Consider the following 20,515-nt stretch of genomic DNA (forward strand, 5'->3'; position numbering starts at 1 on the left):
TCCCATCTTAGCCTCCCAAAGTGCTGGGATTACAGGTGTAAGCCACCATGCCTGGCCATATTACTTTTTGAAGAGCTTTTCTGATCCAGGAGGCAACCTGCTTCCTGCCTCACTCTCTCACCAGGCTCTGTTTCACAGACAAACACTATCTTCCTAATGGCAACAGGGCTCCTAGGTGAGACTAGACCTGGTAGTCGAGGGAAACAGAGTTGATGTGGATGGGCTGGCATGAGTTATGTTACTTCTCACCAAAGAAGCCTCAAGCAGGGCAGTCTCTCATTAAAAGGCAACTTCCAAAGGTTGAGCAAAATAACACAGTGTCCTCCTCCCACCCAGCTCCTCTCAGCCCATTTTTCTTCTATGAACACCTGTGATCATGTCACACCCCTGCTCGCAACTGTCCTCCATTGCTCACCAATGAAATACAACCTAACAGGGCATCAACACCCTTCACAATATGACTCCAACCTACTTCTCCAGTCTTTTTCCTATTACACTCTCCGCTATGAATCTAATCTCCCAATCGAACTTGGATATGTACAAAACATACCCTGGTCGTTTTCATTGATGTGATTTTTCTTGTTTGTTCCCTCTGCTTGCAAACTTCTTGATGAATCTTACCCCTTCTCCATGAAGCTTTCTCTGATACCGCCTACCCTCCAGCCAGAAGTCACCGCTTTTTTGGTATGTGTCCTAAAGACCTTATTTACGCTTCTCTTGCAGAGTTATCACAAGCTGCCTCAGATCATGATTTGCACCCAGACTGGCCTCAAAACTCCATTCATGCATCAACTCCTTGGCAGAGCTTTCCTTACCCCTATCCCTGGCCTGTCTTACCAGCACCAAGCCCTTCCTCCTCACACCTCCCCAGCAAGTTCTAAGGCCACTTGATTACATCTGTTTTTCTCTCTCCCTCATCCCTCTCTGACCTCTTCTTGCAAAGCAGCAATGTGGATTCACTCATCTCGGCATCCCCAGCAGGTGGCTGACACACAGAAGCAGCTCAACGGATGTTTGATGAATAAAAACAAATAAGCAGATGACTACATGAATCAATGAATCATATTTTGTTCTTCTGCAAATCTCCAACAGCATCTTACATATATTTGCACCTCAGCCTCCCAAGTCTGTGGGGAAGTGGCATTCAACAAGAATCTGCATCAAACCTGACAGATTTCACTTTCACCAGCATCAGGCAGAGGGAGATAAACAAGGTAGGGCAAGCACAGAAGCCCAGTCCTCTGGGGAGTGAAGGGGGAGACTGCTCTGCAACACCTCTAAAGCTAGTGGCTTCTCAAAGAGATCAGAGCAGCCACATAGCCCTCATTACTGGGCATGGTCCTGGTTGCCTTCCGATGTGAAGGTTCTGGCTCCCGGTCTAAGCTTCTTCCGACAGCCCACCCAGAGCACTCCCTAGATATTACAATTCAAGTCACGGCAACAAAATGTCCCTCCGTTGCTGACATCAAATGAGGTGGCCCAGCTGGAGGAGAGTTTAATTTTCTCTTCATCTACCTCACTCCTGACATTTCACAGGGTCTACCCAGCTCTTGCAAGCAAGCACAGAGGCTCGAAGGGATGCTGTGGGTTTGGAGGCTTTTGGATCCTTGCCAGTCACTGCATGAAGTGTGAATGGATTGTCATGACGAGAATGCGTTTTCAAAGGAATATATCCAAATGTGCTTCCCTTCAGAGTCCTCTGGAAGATGGACATTTACTCTGCTGTTCACATTTAGAAACTTGTTTGGGGAACTGCCAGCAAAAAAACAGCTTTGATCTTGGAGCATAGGTTTTGTTTTGTTTTGTTTTGTTTTGAGACAAGGTCTCGCTCTGTTGCCCAGATGAGTGCAGTAGTGCAACCATGGCTCACTGCAGCCTTGACCTCCTGGGCTCAAGCAGTCCTCCCACCTCAGCCTCCCAAATTGCTGGGACTACAGTCATGTGCCACCATGCCGAGCTATTTTTTTTAAATACAGAGCTGGGGTCTCACTATGTTGCCCATGCTGATCCTGAACTCCTGGCCTCAAGCAATCCTCCCACCTTGGCCTCTCTAAGTGCTGGGATTATAAGCATGAGCTACCACACCTGACTAATTTTCAATTTTTTAATTTTCAAAAGCAGTCAGGAGGCTTTGACATACTAGTTAGGTGGTGAATAAGGCAGACAAAAACACTGGGAAATACCTTGATAGACAAGTCCCTCCTGGCCACCTTCGAGCTAGGGCTGCTCAGGAGTTAGTGCTCACTCATGCGCTTTAAGCAGAGGTGCACTTCATGGGAATTTAGGGAAGGTTTCCATGTCCTGATGAAGTGGGGCAGACTTGGCTGGCAGAGACTTTTTTGCCCATTGCCCTTCCTCCTTCTTCCCATCTGGAAAGTCCACACTGTGCTTGGAGGTGCAGAGCCAGCTTGCAATCCCAAGGCTGCAGGTGCAAGATGAAGGTCAGCATAGGAGAGTGCAGAGCAGAGCACAGTGTGAGTCTAGCTCTCCAAGGGCATTATTAAAGTTACACTAGCCCTGGGCTGTCTGCCTCTAGTTTTCTTATTATAAAAGAAGAACTTGCCCCCTATTTATGCTTCTTGTAGCCCAAGGTTTTTCTAACTGATATTAGAAGCATGACTACAGAGTGATTTGGTATGCCCCATAAATTGGCTCTGAAAAAAGAATTCCACAAAAGGAATTCCAAAATAAAGTTGGGAATAGCCTTTCAAATACACACATTGCACTGGGTTGAATCTATTCTAGGGAGACTGGAAGACCTGGATGGTAATGCCTGTGTCTGGTCCCAAAACGGAGACTATAACAAATGCTCTCTTAAAAAAAAAAAAAAGAAATGTATTTGAGAGGCCAAGGCAGGTGGATCACTTGAGGTCAGGAGTTCAAGACCAGCCTGGTCAACATGGTGAAACCCTGTCTCTACCAAAAATGCAAAAATTAGCCAGGCGTGGTGGCAGGCACCTGTAGTACCAGCTACTCAGGAGGCTGAGGCAAGAGAATCACTTGAGCCCAGGAGGCAGAGGTTGCAGTGAGCCAAGATCACACCACTGCACTCCAGCCTGGACGGCAGAGCAAGGCGCCGCCTCAAAAAGAAAAAAAATAAAATAAAATCCACCAGGAGATAATAATCCTGAATCAGACATTGTTAAAAAAGAATCCCTTAATTCAAAAATTCCCTTTACACATTAAAATCAAAGCTTAAAGGTCGGGATGTCTAATGTTATTATAAACTGTAGGTAGCAAGAACTCGAGCTATAGCTTAATGGAATTTCTCAAACACCAAGGGAAGAAATGGAGATACTTCTGGACTGCAGGTAGAAAGAAAGAGGAAGGAAAGAAGAAAGGTCAGACATCAGAAACCCTACAGTAGCCCCTACATTACCTTGAGGTTGAACAATGGCTGAAGTGGAAACAAGAGTAAAGCCTCAGGTAGTTTGAAGCAGAAGCCAAAGCAGGGAACATGTATGCCCTGCTGCCCATTCAGGAATCCAGAAGCAGAGTAAAGATGGCATCATGGAGCACTTACACAGAAGATGAGAGACAACGGAAGTGCCCCCAAGTCTCCCTCGGGTATTATGTAAGATTGAGCTGAGGGCAGGGAGGAAAAAGTCAGCTCAATCCTATTGCAGAGGTTGTGGGGTGGACCTCTGGGTCAGGCACTGAACGGAGGCTGTGATGTGTCATGTCTGCAGCAGTAAGGAGCACTCAGGTGGGGCTGAGTCAGCCAGGAAAGGTCCACTGGACCCTGAGGAAATCAGAAGAGACCCCACAACATGCCAGTCACATCTCCAGGAGGCCAGCAAGGACCCATAAGTCAGCACTAGGGTACGTAAGGACTAGCGGGCTTCTCTCATTGGTGGGAGGACATTGTTTGGCCTTCCTTATACCCACGTGCCATCCTAGGATGGTGGGGGAGGAACCAGACTTTACAAAGTGAGAAACCACCTGTTTTAGTCCATTCGTGCTGCTATAACAAAATACCATACACTTGATGCCTTAGAAACAACAACACAAGTCTAGAGGCTGGGAAGTCCAAGATCAAAGCACCAGCAGAGTTGATATGTGGCAAGAGCCCACTTCCTTGTTCATAAATGGCTGTCTTCCAGTTGTGTCCTCAAACGGCAGAAGGGGTGAGGGAGCTCTCTAGGGCGTCTTTTATAAAGGCACTAATCCCATTGATGAGGGCTTTGTTCTCATGACCTAATCACCTCCCAAAGGCCCTACCTCCTAATACCATCATATTGGATGTTAGGATTGCAAGATATGAATGGCGGGAGCGGGGACAGATACAAACATTCAGTGTATAGCACCACTCAAATAGAGTAATTGAAAGCAATATTTATCCAAGAGAGGTAAGAACTTGAAACAGACAGAGGCATAATACCTTTAATCGGCTAGTTTATGTTTCCCTCCCACTCATGGTCCATGGAAACTGGGGCTCCTCAGCAAGCTGAGAATAGTTGAGCAAAATAATGAATGCTGTGCTGATTGCACATCTGAGTATAATGTAAAGATTTTGACCCTGCTAATATATGCTTGTTTTTTAAAAATCTGTCTTCAATATTTTATCACAGCTGAGGCATCCTTAGCCTACTCTTCCACAGAAGGCTGCTCTAAATGTTTTTATACACAGGGAGCTATTTCAGCTCTGTACATTACCACGAAGCAGTCACAGAGCCTCCCTTCCCCCACTTGGTGAACACGCCTTTTGAAGCCCTTGGCGTTTGATTCATGCCATTTTGACTACCTTAAAACACACACACACAAACACACACATACACACACTGATTTTTTTTTTAACCACTCCTTGCAGAGCAGGGCTAATTCATAGTCAGTGTGCCCAGAATCGACCCACACATTGACTTTTGACTCTATTTGCTTTGTTGACAATTCCCATCTCTCTGGCTAGACTTGGAAGCTGCCTGGAGGCAGACAGTGGGCCTGGTGGTTCTCACAGACCCCAGCATAAAATTCTTACTGACTGAATTCACCTCAGTGTAATTGTATCAAAGGTTATTTGAAAATTCAGACCTTGAGTAGTCTATCACTAGTAAAGCTAAAATTCTTACTGACTGAATTCACCTCAGTGTAATTGTATCAAAGGTTATTTGAAAACTCAGACCTTGAGTAGTCAATCACTAGTAAAGCTAAAATTCTTACTGACTGAATTCACCTCAGTGTAATTGTATCAAAGGTTATTTGAAAACTCAGACCTTGAGTAGTCAATCACTAGTAAAGCTAAAATTCTTACTGACTGAATTCACCTCAGTGTAATTGTATCAAAGGTTATTTGAAAACTCAGACCTTGAGTAGTCTATCACTAGTAAAGCTAAAATTCTTACTGACTGAATTCACCTCAGTGTAATTGTATCAAAGGTTATTTGAAAACTCAGACCTTGAGTAGTCAATCACTAGTAAAGCTAAAATTCTTACTGACTGAATTCACCTCAGTGTAATTGTATCAAAGGTTATTTGAAAACTCAGACCTTGAGTAGTCTATCACTAGTAAAGCTAAAATTCTTACTGACTGAATTCACCTCAGTGTAATTGTATCAAAGGTTATTTGAAAACTCAGACCTTGAGTAGTCAATCACTAGTAAAGCTAAAATTCTTACTGACTGAATTCACCTCAGTGTAATTGCATCAAAGGTTATTTGAAAACTCAGACCTTGAGTAGTCAATCACTAGTAAAGCTAAAATTCTTACTGACTGAATTCACCTCAGTGTAATTGTATCAAAGGTTATTTGAAAACTCAGACCTTGAGTAGTCAATCACTAGTAAAGCTAAAATTCTTACTGACTGAATTCACCTCAGTGTAATTGTATCAAAGGTTATTTGAAAACTCAGACCTTGAGTAGTCAATCACTAGTAAAGCTAAAATTCTTACTGACTGAATTCACCTCAGTGTAATTGTATCAAAGGTTATTTGAAAACTCAGACCTTGAGTAGTCAATCACTAGTAAAGCTAAAATTCTTACTGACTGAATTCACCTCAGTGTAATTGTATCAAAGGTTATTTGAAAACTCAGACCTTGAGTAGTCAATCACTAGTAAAGCTAAAATTCTTACTGACTGAATTCACCTCAGTGTAATTGTATCAAAGGTTATTTGAAAACTCAGACCTTGAGTAGTCAATCACTAGTAAAGCTAAAATTCTTACTGACTGAATTCACCTCAGTGTAATTGTATCAAAGGTTATTTGAAAACTCAGACCTTGAGTAGTCGATCACTAGTAAAGCTAAAATTCTTACTGACTGAATTCACCTCAGTGTAATTGTATCAAAGGTTATTTGAAAACTCAGACCTTGAGTAGTCTATCACTAGTAAAGCTTTCTGGGACCCGCTTTCTGTTTCCCCCCTTTTTCTCCCACTTCTGCCTTCTCTGGCTAAAATCAAATTTTGGCATTCAAAGGAAGGCTCTGACTTGCTTCTCAAGTTTGTTCCCCATGCCTCAAGTAGAGCCTCATCTCCCCGACCTTCTGACACTCACCTCTCTGAAGACTTCGCGTATATCATGGTTAGACTCAGGTCTACCTGGATTTGAGAGACTGACTTTTTGACCTCCCACAAGCCATATAATTATACCATTCTTCATTCCCTCCAAATGATACAGATGCCAACCCACTGTGACCAGAGGTAATCTAGACTTTTCTGAACCTGGCAGACAGCAGCTTGACTGGGTCTCCAGTGCCCCCATCCTGCAGCCCTAGCACTATCTGTAGCCACACTCCACCTCTGCCCTTTCCCCCAGCCTAGCCCTGGAGCACAGATGCCTACCAGCCCTGGTAACGCCTGGCTCCAGCTCTGCCATGACTTCTTAGCATCCTCAGTACTCCTGTTTGCTCCTGTCACCTGCTCCCCTGATTCCCATCACCATCCAGCAGCAGCACCTGGGCAGGCTGACCAGGTGGCACATGGGACTGGGGAGTGAATGAGTCAGCCAGGTTCCTACTCCTGAGCACCCTAGCAGGATCCTCTGTTTAAGTTCCCGTCCTCTTAGAATCACTTAGTAAATCTCCCCCATCTTGCACCAGCCTCCAACCCTCCTGGAGTTCCTCTCCCTTCCGGCTTAAGGGGTAGCTCCTGTATGCCATCATCACTCACCAGCACTTGCCAAGCATCACCATGTGCGGGGCCATCTGCAGGACACTGGGACAAGAGAGACCTAAAGATCACCATCTCTGCCCTTGAGAAGGCTACAAACTTAGTAGAGTAGAAATAGCACAGGTTTTGAACTCAGAAATCCTGTGTTCAAAGCCCTGGACCCTTACTTGCCTGCTGAGTGTCTGGCAGCAATCACTTGACTCCTAGGATTCTCAGTTTTCTAATCTGTAAAATGAGTTTGGACCTCACAGTTTATTGTGCAAGATCATCTGATACTGAGCAAAAAGGACTTACTTGTAACAAGCGAAATGTTTAGGGATATCTGTATATATCTCCAGTTGGCCTTCTGTATCCATGGGTACCATATCCATGGGTTCAACCAACTGCAGGTTGAAAATATTTGAAAAAAATGGATGGCTTTGTCTGTACTGAACATGTACAGACTTTTTTCTTATCATGATTCCCTGAATGATACCATATAACAACTATTTACATAACATTTACACTGTATTAAGTATTATAAGTAATCCAGAGGTGATTTAAAGTATATGGGAGGATATGCATGGGCTATCTGCAAATACTACATCATTCATATCAGGGACTTGAGCATCTGTGGATTTTGGTATTCCTGGGGATCCTGGAACCAGTACCCCACAGATACCGAGGGAAGACTGTATGGGGTGTGTGTGTGTGTGTGTATGTGGTCTCCAGTTGGCTAGAGAGGACATCAGGATATAAAAGATATCAAAGATACACATGACTGTATATGTAACAGCAGGTATGATATTTTTAGAGTGCCTCTGGAGTATCTTGTTTAATGTTCCCCCGTGGGTAAGCCAGCTTCTCTCTCCCCGCCTGAGTATAATCTCTCCCAATAAGCAACTGCTTCTTTGCTGATAAGGAACAATTCCCTGGCCTTTCCATATTCAGGACAAAAGAGGACCTTCAGTGCCTCCGGGAATCGTAGGCAGGGGCTTCTGCTGACACCCCAGGCTCTGTGGTCCCTACTCTCCCTCAAACAAACAACATAGAACCGAAGGAAATAATGTCAGGCAGAAGCCCACACACACAGTTAGAACATGAGTCCCTATGCTGGGGCCCTGCTCTGTCCTAATCCATTCACCCCGTTACCACCTGCCTGCGCTGAGTCAGATTTAAAGCACTCGTTCTCTGCACCTTCTTTGAACCTACAAATGTACCTCAGCCTAATGGACCTTGCACATCTGGAAGTTGCCCACAATAAATCCTGCTAATGTAGAATTAAAGTAGGTTAATCTGGCCAGGTGAGGTGGCTCATGCCTGTAATCCCAACACTTTGGGAGGCCAAGGTGGGTGGATCACCTGAGGTCAGGAGTTTGAGACCAGCCTGGCCAACATGGTGGAACCCTGTCTCTATTAAAAATACAAAAATTAGCTGGACGTGGTGGCCCACACCTGTAATCTCAGCTACTCGGGAGGCTGAGGCAGGAGAATTGCTTGAACCTGGGAGGCAGAGGTTGCAGTGAGCCGAGATAGTGCCCCTGCACTCCAACCTGGTTCACAGAGCAAGATTCCATCTCAAAAAATAAAAAAATAAAATAAAATAAAGTAGATTAACAAGATGGCTTTTGGACAGGGTAAGTTCCTAGAAAATGCAGATGAGAAAAAAATGTACTATAGGCTCAGCCCTTCACCCTCCAAGAGTTGAAATCACATAAGCCACACCCTCATCAGTGTATTGCACAAGGAGAGTGCCTTCTGTTACAATCATTTTAATCGGGAAGCCATCAGGCTGGGGAAGCTACACCACTGTAAGTTTTTACCTAAGCAAGCCAAAGCCCAATGCAAACAGTAAAATGAAACTAGAAACTTTACTGATCAGAAACCACAAACTAACCTCTAAAACCAGTCTTTCCACTGTAATCAATCAAATGTGTTGTATTTGTCTTACTTCCATATTCAGCCTCTAAAAGCCCACGCTGCTGCAGTGGAGCTCTCTGAACCTCTTCTGGTTTTGAGGGCTGCCCAAATCATGAATCCTTCTTTGCTCAAATAAACTTTGTCACATTTATTTTGTCTAAAGTTTTTCCTTTAACATTTCCTGTATTTGAATCTGCCTGTGCTTTGCACAAGACAAAGTGGCTATTTAATGCCCATTTGCCAGACAAGTAAAGCTGAGGCCCTGAGTTCAAGTGACCCCCCAAGGCCAGGCAGTGTCAGAGCCAGGACTAGTTCTAGCAAGATGATGAGTTTTCTGCCTTCCTAAATCTTGCAGTGCCATGTGGAAGCTGAAGTAAATACATTCACATCATTTGAAATACATGCCTTAGATCTCTGTACAAAGGTAGCAAGAAATTTCGGGAAGAGTCCCTCCTCCTGTCAACCTACACATAGCTTCTCATCAGCCCCTTTTCATCCTCACTTTCCAATTGCCACAAACCACCCTCTCTCCCCACCCCTTGCTAGCATTTTTTCACCCTCTGACCTACCTCATAAGATAGCATCTCCTTACATTGCAATAACATAAAACAGCCTGACTTCTTAAGAGTTCTTATAAAGATAAAAATGAGATAAGATACGCAAGGTGCCTAGCTTAGGGCCTGCCACATAGAAAGCCCTCAATAAACCTCCTTATTATTCACTGTTATCCCCCAACATACAATTAACCCAAACACCAGGGAACCCAAACAAGTGAATCAACAAATGTTTATTGAGCGTCTACTGCCTATAGGAAAACAAAAACTGAAATGATACCAGGAAGTTGCTGGTGTCCTTCCCTATCCACCCCTCTGTTTGGTATAGGACTCAGGACTGCTATCTCACTCCCACCACCTGCCTTCTTGTCCAGGTTTCCCATCTCAGGCATCAGAGCCACTAGTTTGTCAGTTGCTGAAGCCCAGAAGCCATTCTGATTCCTTTTCCTCACTCCATTCATATCGAATTGCTTCCCAAGTGCTTTTGATTTTATTCCTAAATAGCTCTCAAATCCCATCCTCCTCCCTAACATTGCTGCCATCGCCTCCACTCCCAGTAAGACTATAAAGGACCCTCTTTCTCCAAATAGTCATCATCCAGGAGCAGTAATTAGGAGGTTGCAAAAAGAAGCAAAATTGTCATGATGTGGAAATATTCATGAGTTTTCACCCAACCATCCCTCCCCACCTAACACTAGAAACATTAAAACTACCAACCATGCCAACCTCACATGCAGATACAATGCAAGGTGGTTGCAAAGTAACACTGAACATTTTGCTCAATTCGATGGATTTCATGAAGTTGATGAAAGTAATACTGGAGATCTGCTTCAGTACCACTGACCAAGAAGAAGTTGGCAGAGCTAAAGCATTTGCAGCTGAGGAAGGAAAACTGCTGAGGTTCAAGGCAGGACTGGTCCTTGAAAAGGGAATGGTTTGAGCGTCAAAGTATTGAAGGACGGCCTTGGAGAAACTAATGAACTCTTTGAAAGTTTTCATGATTCTTCCTCAAAACTCAAGCAGGAAGCAAAAAGTGTTGCTTCCTGCTGTCTTGTCATCTTTTCAGCATGAGTTCTCCCTCAAAAAGTCAACAACTGATTCATTCCTTGTTCAAAGAGCTAGCGCAAAACTGCAACTATTACATAAGTATCATGAAATACAAAGTCACATGAAAACTTTTTCATAATTTTTTGTATTATCTTTCAAAGTAAGATACTGATCAAGCCTTTTTTTAAAAAAAAAAAAACTGTTTACTAAGAAATGTGGACCTCCATTTTACTTTCAGTGGTCCCTTTCCAATACCAGTTATCTGCAAATAATGAGGGTTTCCTATCTTGCAATTGTCTCTTCCTGGTGTCTGCACTCTCCACACTGCAGCAAATCTGGCTATAAGCAGCCCTGCTTTAAAATCTTACATGATTCCCCATTGCCCTTAGGAATAAAGTCCAGAATTCTTCACACAGTGCCAGAGCCCTGCGTGATCTGGCCACTGCCTCCCTCTCCACTCTCAGCCTTTGCACTAACTGTTCCCTGTTTGCACCAGTCCTACCACTACTTTGCAAGTCCCCGCCCCAGTGCTATGCACTTCCTAGCCAAAGGACCTTTATTCATCTCCTTCCTGCAGCCTGGAACCCTCTTCCCCGCCTTCTTTCCCACAAGAGGAAGGAGTGCCTATTTGTTCTCCGCTGTTTCCTGGCATGAAGAAGACATTTGATAAATATTTAAATGAGTAAATAGGCTGTGAAAGTTCTTCCTGATTCTGACAAATGAGTATGTCAGATAAGCCACGTGTTCCCTCACTCCTGTAAGCATCCACAACCAACGGTACTTCAATCCACCACCATTCAACACCGTGGGCCCACCTCCTACTGTACTTGTAAATTAAGAACCTGGCACACCTTACTAGAACATCGTCCTCCTTTTAGAGTGGATGATGGCAAGCTACCAGTGTTCTAGAAGCAAGATTATAGAGAACATCAATCCAGGGCATGACAGATACCCAGAAAACTCAAAAGGCCCCAGGTACTGTGTTCTCAGCAGACGGTGGGGTATTGGGGTCACCCAAGAAAGAAAGTCACTAAGAGTTTCAAAGATTAGCCCCAAGTCTGGTATTTTTCTGAAACAAAGAGTTTCGAAGATTAGCCCCAAGCACTGGTGTTTTTCTGAACAATGGTAACGTGACTCATTTATGGCAACTATAATTTTTATAGCCTCAAAATAACACTTTGGAGTCATGCTACATATAATAAGGCACACTAATCCACTTCTGCTGCCCCCCATAGGTTTCCCGGCACCTCCACTCCTGGTTCCCATGACGACCCAGAAGGGGCCTCTCAGACCTGATAGCAGCGTAGAGGCAGCTCCTCAGGGAGGGGCAGCTATCACACATCACTACATTTGGCATTTGGCCGAGGACTATTCTGGGCCAGGGGGGTCTTCGGCTTCCAGGAGCTACAGAGCACCCCAGAGAGTTAATGTACTTCAAAACAGAGGAAAGAACAGGAAAGGCTGACGGGTCATCTTTGAATCAGAAGCCATTTTTGCCTTACCTTCTAAGTTTTCAGTGGAGAGGAAAAGGAAAAAGAAAAAGAAAAAAAAGCAAGCAAACTCTTCACAGCTGAAGAAACTTGTTCAGATTATTTCAGAGTTCCTCCTAGTTGCTTCTGAAGCCCACCAGGCCAATTCTCATCCATCTCGTTTCTGTGATTGTGGAAGGAATAAGACTCAATGGCATGAAACAGCTTCAGGACTTTCTGCCTCACCTCCAGCTTTAAATCAGACCTTTAATGCTACTTAGAGGGAAACATTTTTCTTAGTAAATTATAAAAGTGGAATTGATTCACCAGAGGGAGAAAAACCCACTGAGTAAATATATTTGAGGCTTATGTAAACACATCTCAGAGCGTGTTTCAAGGGAAAGCGGCTTGCTTACTGAGTTTAATTATAATGCTCTTTGGTTTCAAAAATAAGACAAAAATGCTAGAAGCCAGGTGTAATGGGGAAAGAAATGAAAAGATGAGCACTGAGATGCAATTGTTAGCTCCAGCCATGGCTGAAATACACGGGATGAGATACAAAAATGGCACATCACCGTTATTGCTAGGGACAGCCCTGACACACTGTCAAGTGTCCCCTCCGAAAATGATCCTAAATGGCCCGGCAGTTCCAACTCCGGGCTAGGTATCCTGAGGTTTCCAAATATACATAGATCTTTAAAGTGCATCAAATATTCAACAGAGGATAATGGCATCTCCTAGCAAGATGAGGGTGGTCTTCCAGGCTCAAATATACTGACATGAGGTGAACTGAACTCAAATGTTAAAATGCCAAGGAACCCAGTGGGGTGTTGTGAGCAGAAAACGAGATACTTTGAGGCTGGGAAAATATCCTGAGTACAATGCCCAAGAGCAAAAATATGTGAAAAGAGATAGAAAGGAAGCAAAACTCTTAAAGGGAGTAGTAGAGGGGACACTGGCCAGGCTGGTGGGCAGGGCAACTGCAGAGAAAGCCTTTCAATCAGAAGCCACTGAGTGCACAGAAGCCTGGAGCACATCTACAGAAGCACAGAGTTTCTCCAAACAGTTTGTCCAAAGTGAGGACAGCTAGCAGAAGCTCAACGCACATCACAGGTGAAAGCCGACTGGCATGCAGAAAGTCCCCAGGGTCCGCACCATAATTCAGGCCCGGTGGGGGCTTGATGTAGACTGAAGACGGTAAACCCGTCCTAACCTGCTTGCCGATCTAGTCTGTCCAGCGCGTACAGTACTGGCCAGCATAATGATTTCTAGAAAATCTAGACTTCTGATTTCCTTTTAAAAAAAATTTTTTTAATACAAACAATCCCACAGTACTTATTGTCATCTTGTAATAACATAAGGGTAATCAAAACAATATGAATAAATGTTCGTATTGGACAAAGGACACCTAAAAACAAACTATATCCTTCTCAACAATTTCTCACTTCATTGATCATTTCTAGTTGGAGACACTATGTACCCGAGTAATATTATCTCCTTTTAGCATGATCCAACCCAGTTGTTTTAACTCTGTTTTAGAATAAATCTCTTCTGCATCAACTAATACAAGGTTCATATACTCATCAAAACCAATGATACAGCCTTCTATCCACATATTCTCTGCTTATAGAGCCATACCTGAATCTGGGATCTATTTTGTAAGAATCTGTAGGTGAGGTTGATGGGCTCCATCATAGCTTTTTGCACTTTCTGGCCCTGACCACGGTATACCATGATGGAAATTCCTAGATTTCTGATTTCTTATAAAAACTGCAAAATCTGGCCAAAATTTCTCTCTCTACTTATTCTACAGATATTTACTGAGCATTCATTCTGTGCCAAGTATTCCAGACCCTAAGGATACAACAGTGGGGAAAAACAGAGTCCTCGATGTTATGGAGTATACATGCTAGTGAGAAAGACAAACAATAAATAAACGCATGTGACAGGTGGTGGTAAATCCTGTAAAGAAACCAGAGCAGGGTGAGGGGAGTGAGAGTTTCTAGGGGAGCGCTAGGAAACGCAAGGCAGTCTGGGAAGGTCTCCCGGCTCCTGCATGGCAACATCCAGCTCGAGCTAGGTGATGGCTTCCTCCTCACACAGGGCAGGTTCTCTGGTTTGCCACAGTCCCTGCTACTCTCTCTTGTTACCTCCTCCTGGCCTACTTTACTCATTTATGTGGCCTCTGTAGGCATCAGAGTTGTGGCCCCCAGAGTTAATCCTTCCCTAGATCCCTCTGTATTAGTCAGGGTTCTCTAGAGGGACAGGACTAATAGAGATGTATATATGAAAGGGAGTTTATTAAGGAGTATTGATTCACACGGTCACAAGGTAAAATTCCACAATAAGCCGTCTGCAAGCTGAGGAGCAAGGAAGCCAGTCCGAGTCCCAAAACCCCAAAAGCAGGGAAGCCAACAGCGCAGCCTTCAGTCTGTGGCCAAAGGCCCGAGAGACCCTGGCAAACCACGGGTGTAAGTCCAAGAGTCCAAAAGCTGAAGAACTTGGTGTCTGATGTTCAAGGGCAGGAAGCATCCAGCGCAGAAGAAAGATGAAGGCCGGAAGACTCGGCAAGTCTAGTCCTTCCATATTCCTCAGCCTGCTTTTATCCTGGCCACGCTGGCAGCTGATTAGATGGTGCCCACCCAGATTGAGGGTGGGTCTGCCTCTCCCAGCCCACTGACTCAAATGTTAATCTCCTTTGGCAACACCCACACAGACACACCCAGGAACAGTACTTTGTATCCTTCAATCCAATCAAGTTGACACTCGGTATTAACCATCAGGCCCTCCAACTCTGGATACCCAAGATCCAGCAGAGAAAGGAGACACTGCTCCCAAGCAGACACGCAAAACAAGTCAGAGAAAATGGGATTTGAGGAAATACGAGCCTAAGCCAAGTCTGAAGGGGGTGGGGGGACCACTCCAGGCATTGCCCTGTTAAATGATGGAGAAACAGTTTTTGAGTCCTGAACACATGTACAGAAGGGGCTCCAGATGCAACTGGGAAAGGATCCCCAGATCTCTCTCCCACTATAGGGCACAAGGCTGGGGGCCACAGGTGGCAGAGCATCAGGGACCAAGGTTGAGCAAGAATGCAGACCAAAGTAACAAGGTACTGGGTCATGAAGCCTGGGAACACATCCCAGGGCTGCTTAGCTACCCTATGGGACCCCTGAGGGAGGCACAAAGAGTCCTCCTGGAGCAGAAGGGAGAGGGTAAACTGAAGTGCAAAGTAAAGGGAGAGGGTAAACCAAAGTGCTCCACTTTCTAGGAGCAGGTTTGGGGCAAGGTATGGAGTGGCTTCATTCCATTCCCTAAGCCAGCAAGAAATGCCACCTGTAACTTTACGAGGTGACTATGGGGGAGCACTGTGGGGAAAATAGACTGCACTCTGTACAGGGAAGATCCAATCCACTTCTGCCAGCTGGTGAGGGATTGCCCAGCCAGAAATCAGCAAGAACAGCTGAGACAACAAGAGGGCGGTGACACAGCAACCACAGGGCCAAGAGAAAGCACTAGAGAAAGAACAGTGTCTGCAAAGGACTTGTTAGATGGGACTTGTTTCCATTCCTCAGGTTCATGGCCTCTTAGAAGAAGGGTATCACCTGTCCTTTCTCTCGTGAGTAGGTGGTGTGGATTTGCTTCCAGAAGGACCAGCCTTTTCTGGGATCATCCTGCTCTATTCCTTGGATGGCGGGAGCCAGCCTACTGAAGAACTGAGGGTGTACATCTCCCAGCCAGTCCCAGATGCTGATGCCAGGGCTTCCAGTAAATGCCCAGAGCTGCCCTGAAGGTGACAGAGGCCTTAACACAGCCTGTAACCTCACCCTTCCTGCTTCTGCGCCAGCCTGCCTCCACCTTTTTCTCTTCAACCACATCCCCAAGAGAGCATGCATAGGCTCCCTTGAGCCTTGGGGACTGGGACATTGCATTACTGATGCTTGAGCAACCGCGTTGTCTTCAGATCTCTTTTAGTTATGCCCTTTAAGAACCATCCACATGTGCTGGAACTAATGGCTGAGGCGGGACAGCAGGGTACCCCTCGTAAGTCAGAGAGAGCTGAAGAAGCCCAAGACTCACAGCCAGTCTGTGATAGAGAAATTGTCCTTAGGCCCTGGGACGATGTCTGCAAAACTGAAGCCACAGGCAGAGAGCAGAGCTGGTAGGTGTGAAGTCAAGTCCTAACACTGGGGTCTGTGAAAGGTGTTAAAATAATTATCGCCTAGAACGCAGAACAGATTCATTTTAACAAGCAACACTCTAAATAGGAATCAGCAACACTCTAGGACTTGATCTTCAGACCCAAACCTCAGGCAGCTCAGCCAAGCGGGAGCTCAGAGAGCACCCCCTGGCCTGGCACCACCTGCCACCTCTCATAAGGTTCAGGGGGTGTCTTCCTGGGGACTCAGGCTCACTGGCAATTTTGCACTTTTCTTACAAAGTGAGGAATAGTCAGGTCACCTCTGAGTAGGTGACACTGGAGAACACTGACAAAATTATCTTCTGGCAAAAAGAAGTCTCCCCTGGTGGAAGGAGCCCAGCATTCCTGTAAGGCAGGATTCTTAACCTTTCCTGTGCATTGTGATAGAAAAGTAGAATCTTGGGACCCCAAACTCATTATGCTAAAGGAAAAGTTAAGCTTGGGAATTGAGTCGCCCAAAAACTACCTTTCTTTTGTTCCCAGATAGTTGTAATTTCACAGGCTTGCTTTATCCTATGTAAAATGCAGATTTACTAAGCACAAGAAAAATGCATAAATGATTTTTCCTCTACCCACTTCTTTTCACATGTAAAATGTAGATTCACTGAGCACTAATCAGAGCCTCACAGGAATGTAACCACTTGCCTTATTGCCTACCCTCCTTTCTTTCTTCCCTCCTGCTTGCTCTTCCTCTTTAAATATTGAAGTTCCTAAAACCCTCTTTGGAAAAAGAACAGGTCACAGATTCCACTGTGACTTGTGTTTCTTTTTCCCAGATGTGTCCTCAACCTTAGCAAAATAAAACCTCGAATTGATCGACACCTGCTGCAGTCATATTTTTGGTTTACAGGAAGGACCCCTTTGGCAAATGCTTCAGACAAAAAATAGGGCCATAAAAAAACAATTATACTGAAAGTTATCAAAATATGTTTTTTAAAAATTATAATAATGCTGTGCTTTTCTATTAATGTCATGAACAAAAGATTTGGAGAGGGGCCTGATAGACAACATAATTATGAAATGGCAGTGAGCAGACGTGGGGTTTTGGATATTTGTAGCAACTGTCATGTGATATGAAAATCACCCCTGATTTCCATGACTGTACTTCATCTCCTGCAGTCATACAGAAAGGAGCTAAGTTAGTGAGGGTTCATGGAACTCTCCACGCAAAGCAGAATTCTTTCGTGCTCCTGAAATAATGCGCAATATGCAAATCCTCCTGTAATCCACGGCCTCAAACTCTCATTAAAGTGGAAGGGGTTGTCCTGGGGACCCTTTGTTCAGAGTAGAAAGGAGAGTGGTGTTAGTGGAACAAAACCAGAGGGCGATGAGCACCAGGACCCAAGATTGAGGGAAACGATGCGCCGATGCGCCGCGGAGTAGAGGAGCCACCACGGGTAGCAAAGTGAACTTCCCCCGAATCACGGTTAAGCCCCCTGGGCCACATGGAGCTGTCATCTGCAGTTTTTCCCACCTCGGAGGCCTGACCCTGTGCTCTCCATAATCAATGAGTAGATTTGGCCCTTTATGTTCCCTGAGGCTTCCCTGACTGCTCATTAAAAGGATCTGCTCAGTCCTAGTGAATTGATTTACTTTGCCACAGTCCTTGAAGGATGCTACAGATCAAAAGGTGTCCAGGAAAGTGATCTTAAAGATGCTGACACTACTCCCAGTTACTGACTAGCGGTGTGCATGCCAGGCCCCTGTTCCAGGAGCCCAGGCCTCGCTCCATGGGGGAGCGTGGACTCACAGAGGAAAATCAATGTGCAGGATGCAGAAGAGAAGGCAACTGGATTTAGGTTGTTGCTGTTGGTTCCTTGTTTGCCTTTAGAGACATATGAAAAGGTCCAGTCATTCTCTTTACAAAACAGAAATACAGAATATAAAACTCAATAAATGCAACAAAAATGAAAAAGACATCCATTTCATAGAGGTGAAGAGAAAAATCAGGTCAATAGAGAAAAGGGGGTTAGAAGAGAAAAGCACACACAGGCACAAACACACGGAGTATAAGACAGAGTGAAAAATAGATGGGGAAGGCAGGAGACAGAGAAAGAAACCCCAGCACTTATCAAACCCTTAAGGTAAAGCTCATCTCACTCATGAATCCTGCTCCCAATGGAAAATAAGCCACCCACTAGATTCAAAGTTTGGATAAACCTAGTAGCATGTGTTATTCAAAAAGCACTCTAATTTCTTTCCACATTCTGGAAGTCTCTGGTCCTCATTTAGGAAAGAAGAAAGTATCTTGCTCCCCATTCCTGAAAGCAGCAAGCATCAAATTTCATTTTTCAGAGACCAAGGTCTACTTTTATACAGTAGCATCGCTCATGTGGCCTCTGGGACTATTTACACATAGAGACGATTCAAGTCCTGTTGCATTTTCACAACCATAGGCACAAATGATACCACACCTTAGTGTTTCCTGCCTGTGGATGCACTCAGGTAAGAACTGGATGGAGCTTGCATGGCAGGTAGAGTTAGCAGTTACTGCTGAGCCTGTGAGAAACAGGCTTACTCTGAGAGTCCTGCTGGGGTCCCCAGGATGCAGTGAGCACTGTGTTCCTTTTTCCACAGCCACCAGCAGGGGCTAGGGACAGTCTCCTTCATGACCTGCTTCCAGGACATCCTTCCACTGTTAAGGATCAGTCAGCACCTCCAACCCCCTTAATGTACCCACCCAGCAGTGTCGGCAAGCTGGGGACAGACATGCAGACAAGCTGGTTTGCATGAAATTCTGAAATCTTTTGAAAATAGAGACACATAGGCAACCTCAGGATGGAATTTTTATTCTAAATGCCTGATCCATCTTAATTGCCAAAAGTGATACTGGCAAAGGAAAATGAAAAATACAAAAAGGCTTGGATTTAGGCTATCTGTGTTTTCAAATGATTTAATAACGATGATAGGCAGGGATTTACACCAACAGATCAAAAGTGCAACAAACATTTATGGAGCCCTGCTAGGTACCAGGCACCGTGGATATATTGATGTGTAAGACAGTCTCATGGAGCACACAGTCAGGACTCCCAGAGTTATTACCATCCCCCTCCACCCACGGTAGCCCCCACTTCCTAGAGGACAAGGAACCAAGTGTCAACTCTCTATCCATCACAACCACCTGACCAGCTGGCTTTGATTATATCCCCACTTTACAGCTGTGAAAACTGAGGTGGAGAGGCCAGAGGTGCACCAAGAAGACTACCCGTGCATGCTGAATTAGGCACTGCTAGTGGTAGATCAAGAGAGAGAGAGGAGGGGCCCTTGGCAAAGGCATTTCCAGGAGCATTGCAGAGTGATAGATTTAGGAGAGGGGGAAAGATGCCAGGGTCATGGGGCTCAGAGGGCAGAGGTGGCCTTGGAGAGGGAGAGTGCAGGCTGGGCCAGACCTGGGATCCCCCTCCATTTACATGTTGGGGTGTACCTGCCTTATTCTTTCTGCCCAGAGCCATGGCCATGCCCCCTTCTTTTGGATAGTTCTCCCTGTGGTTTTAGAGGAGGTTCCCAGTCACAAGAGGCTCCCAGCAGCTAGAGTGGGGCCCTGACCCAGGCTGGGCCCACGGCTGTGGCTGCAGTAACTGGCTCAAGGAGTGGGAGAAGACCCAAACCATAACATCACAGTCCTTTTCTGAGATCTGTAAAACCAAAGCTGGTTTACAATTATACTGAGGGAAAGTCTGGAATCATTAGTCGTCCTGTTTCCTGCCAGATGGATCCTGTCTGCCATGGAAGAGAATGAAGCCAACCTGTAGATACCAACAGAGAAGAGAGATGGGCAGAGAGTGTGCCAGGAACATTTAGATCCCTGGAACCAGGCTCCAAAGCCAACAATGCCGTTCCCCTTCCATGATCTAGTTGGATGAGCCAATAAATAATCCTTTTCCTTAAGCTATTAATAGTTGGGTTGGACTTTGAAAGCCAGTGACCAAAGGAGTTCTGGTTGATATATGGGTATGACTTACTATAAGGGGGTGCACAAAGCCAGAAATGGATGCTATATTCATTGGACAAAGTCTATTTCAGTGGCCACAGAGACCTCAAGATGCTCTGAGACGTGCATAGGCCAAAATGCAAGGGAGAGAGACTGTGCTGGAACGAGCAGTGGAGGGACTGGCTGGGTCGCTGAAGTTTCCTGAGTGATGTGCACCCTTGAGAGTCCACTGGAAAAAGCACACACAGACATGACCCACAGGGGACTGCACATTATAACTTATTCCATCACCACATGGGGCGACCCTGAGAC

General features: G+C 45.1%; 1 protein-coding gene and 1 pseudogene across 3 annotated transcripts in view; both read right to left on the reverse strand.

Annotated features, from left to right (window-relative positions):
- Positions 1-20,515, reverse strand: part of CAPN8 (calpain 8) — a 124,086-nt gene that overhangs the window by 88,963 nt on the left and 14,608 nt on the right. The gene's annotated exons all lie outside the window — the stretch shown is intronic.
- SNRPEP10 (SNRPE pseudogene 10) lies at positions 13,376-13,816 on the reverse strand (annotated as a pseudogene).

Source organism: Homo sapiens, chromosome 1 (assembly GCF_000001405.40).
Source record: "Homo sapiens chromosome 1, GRCh38.p14 Primary Assembly".
NCBI classification, from domain to species: domain Eukaryota; kingdom Metazoa; phylum Chordata; class Mammalia; order Primates; family Hominidae; genus Homo; species Homo sapiens.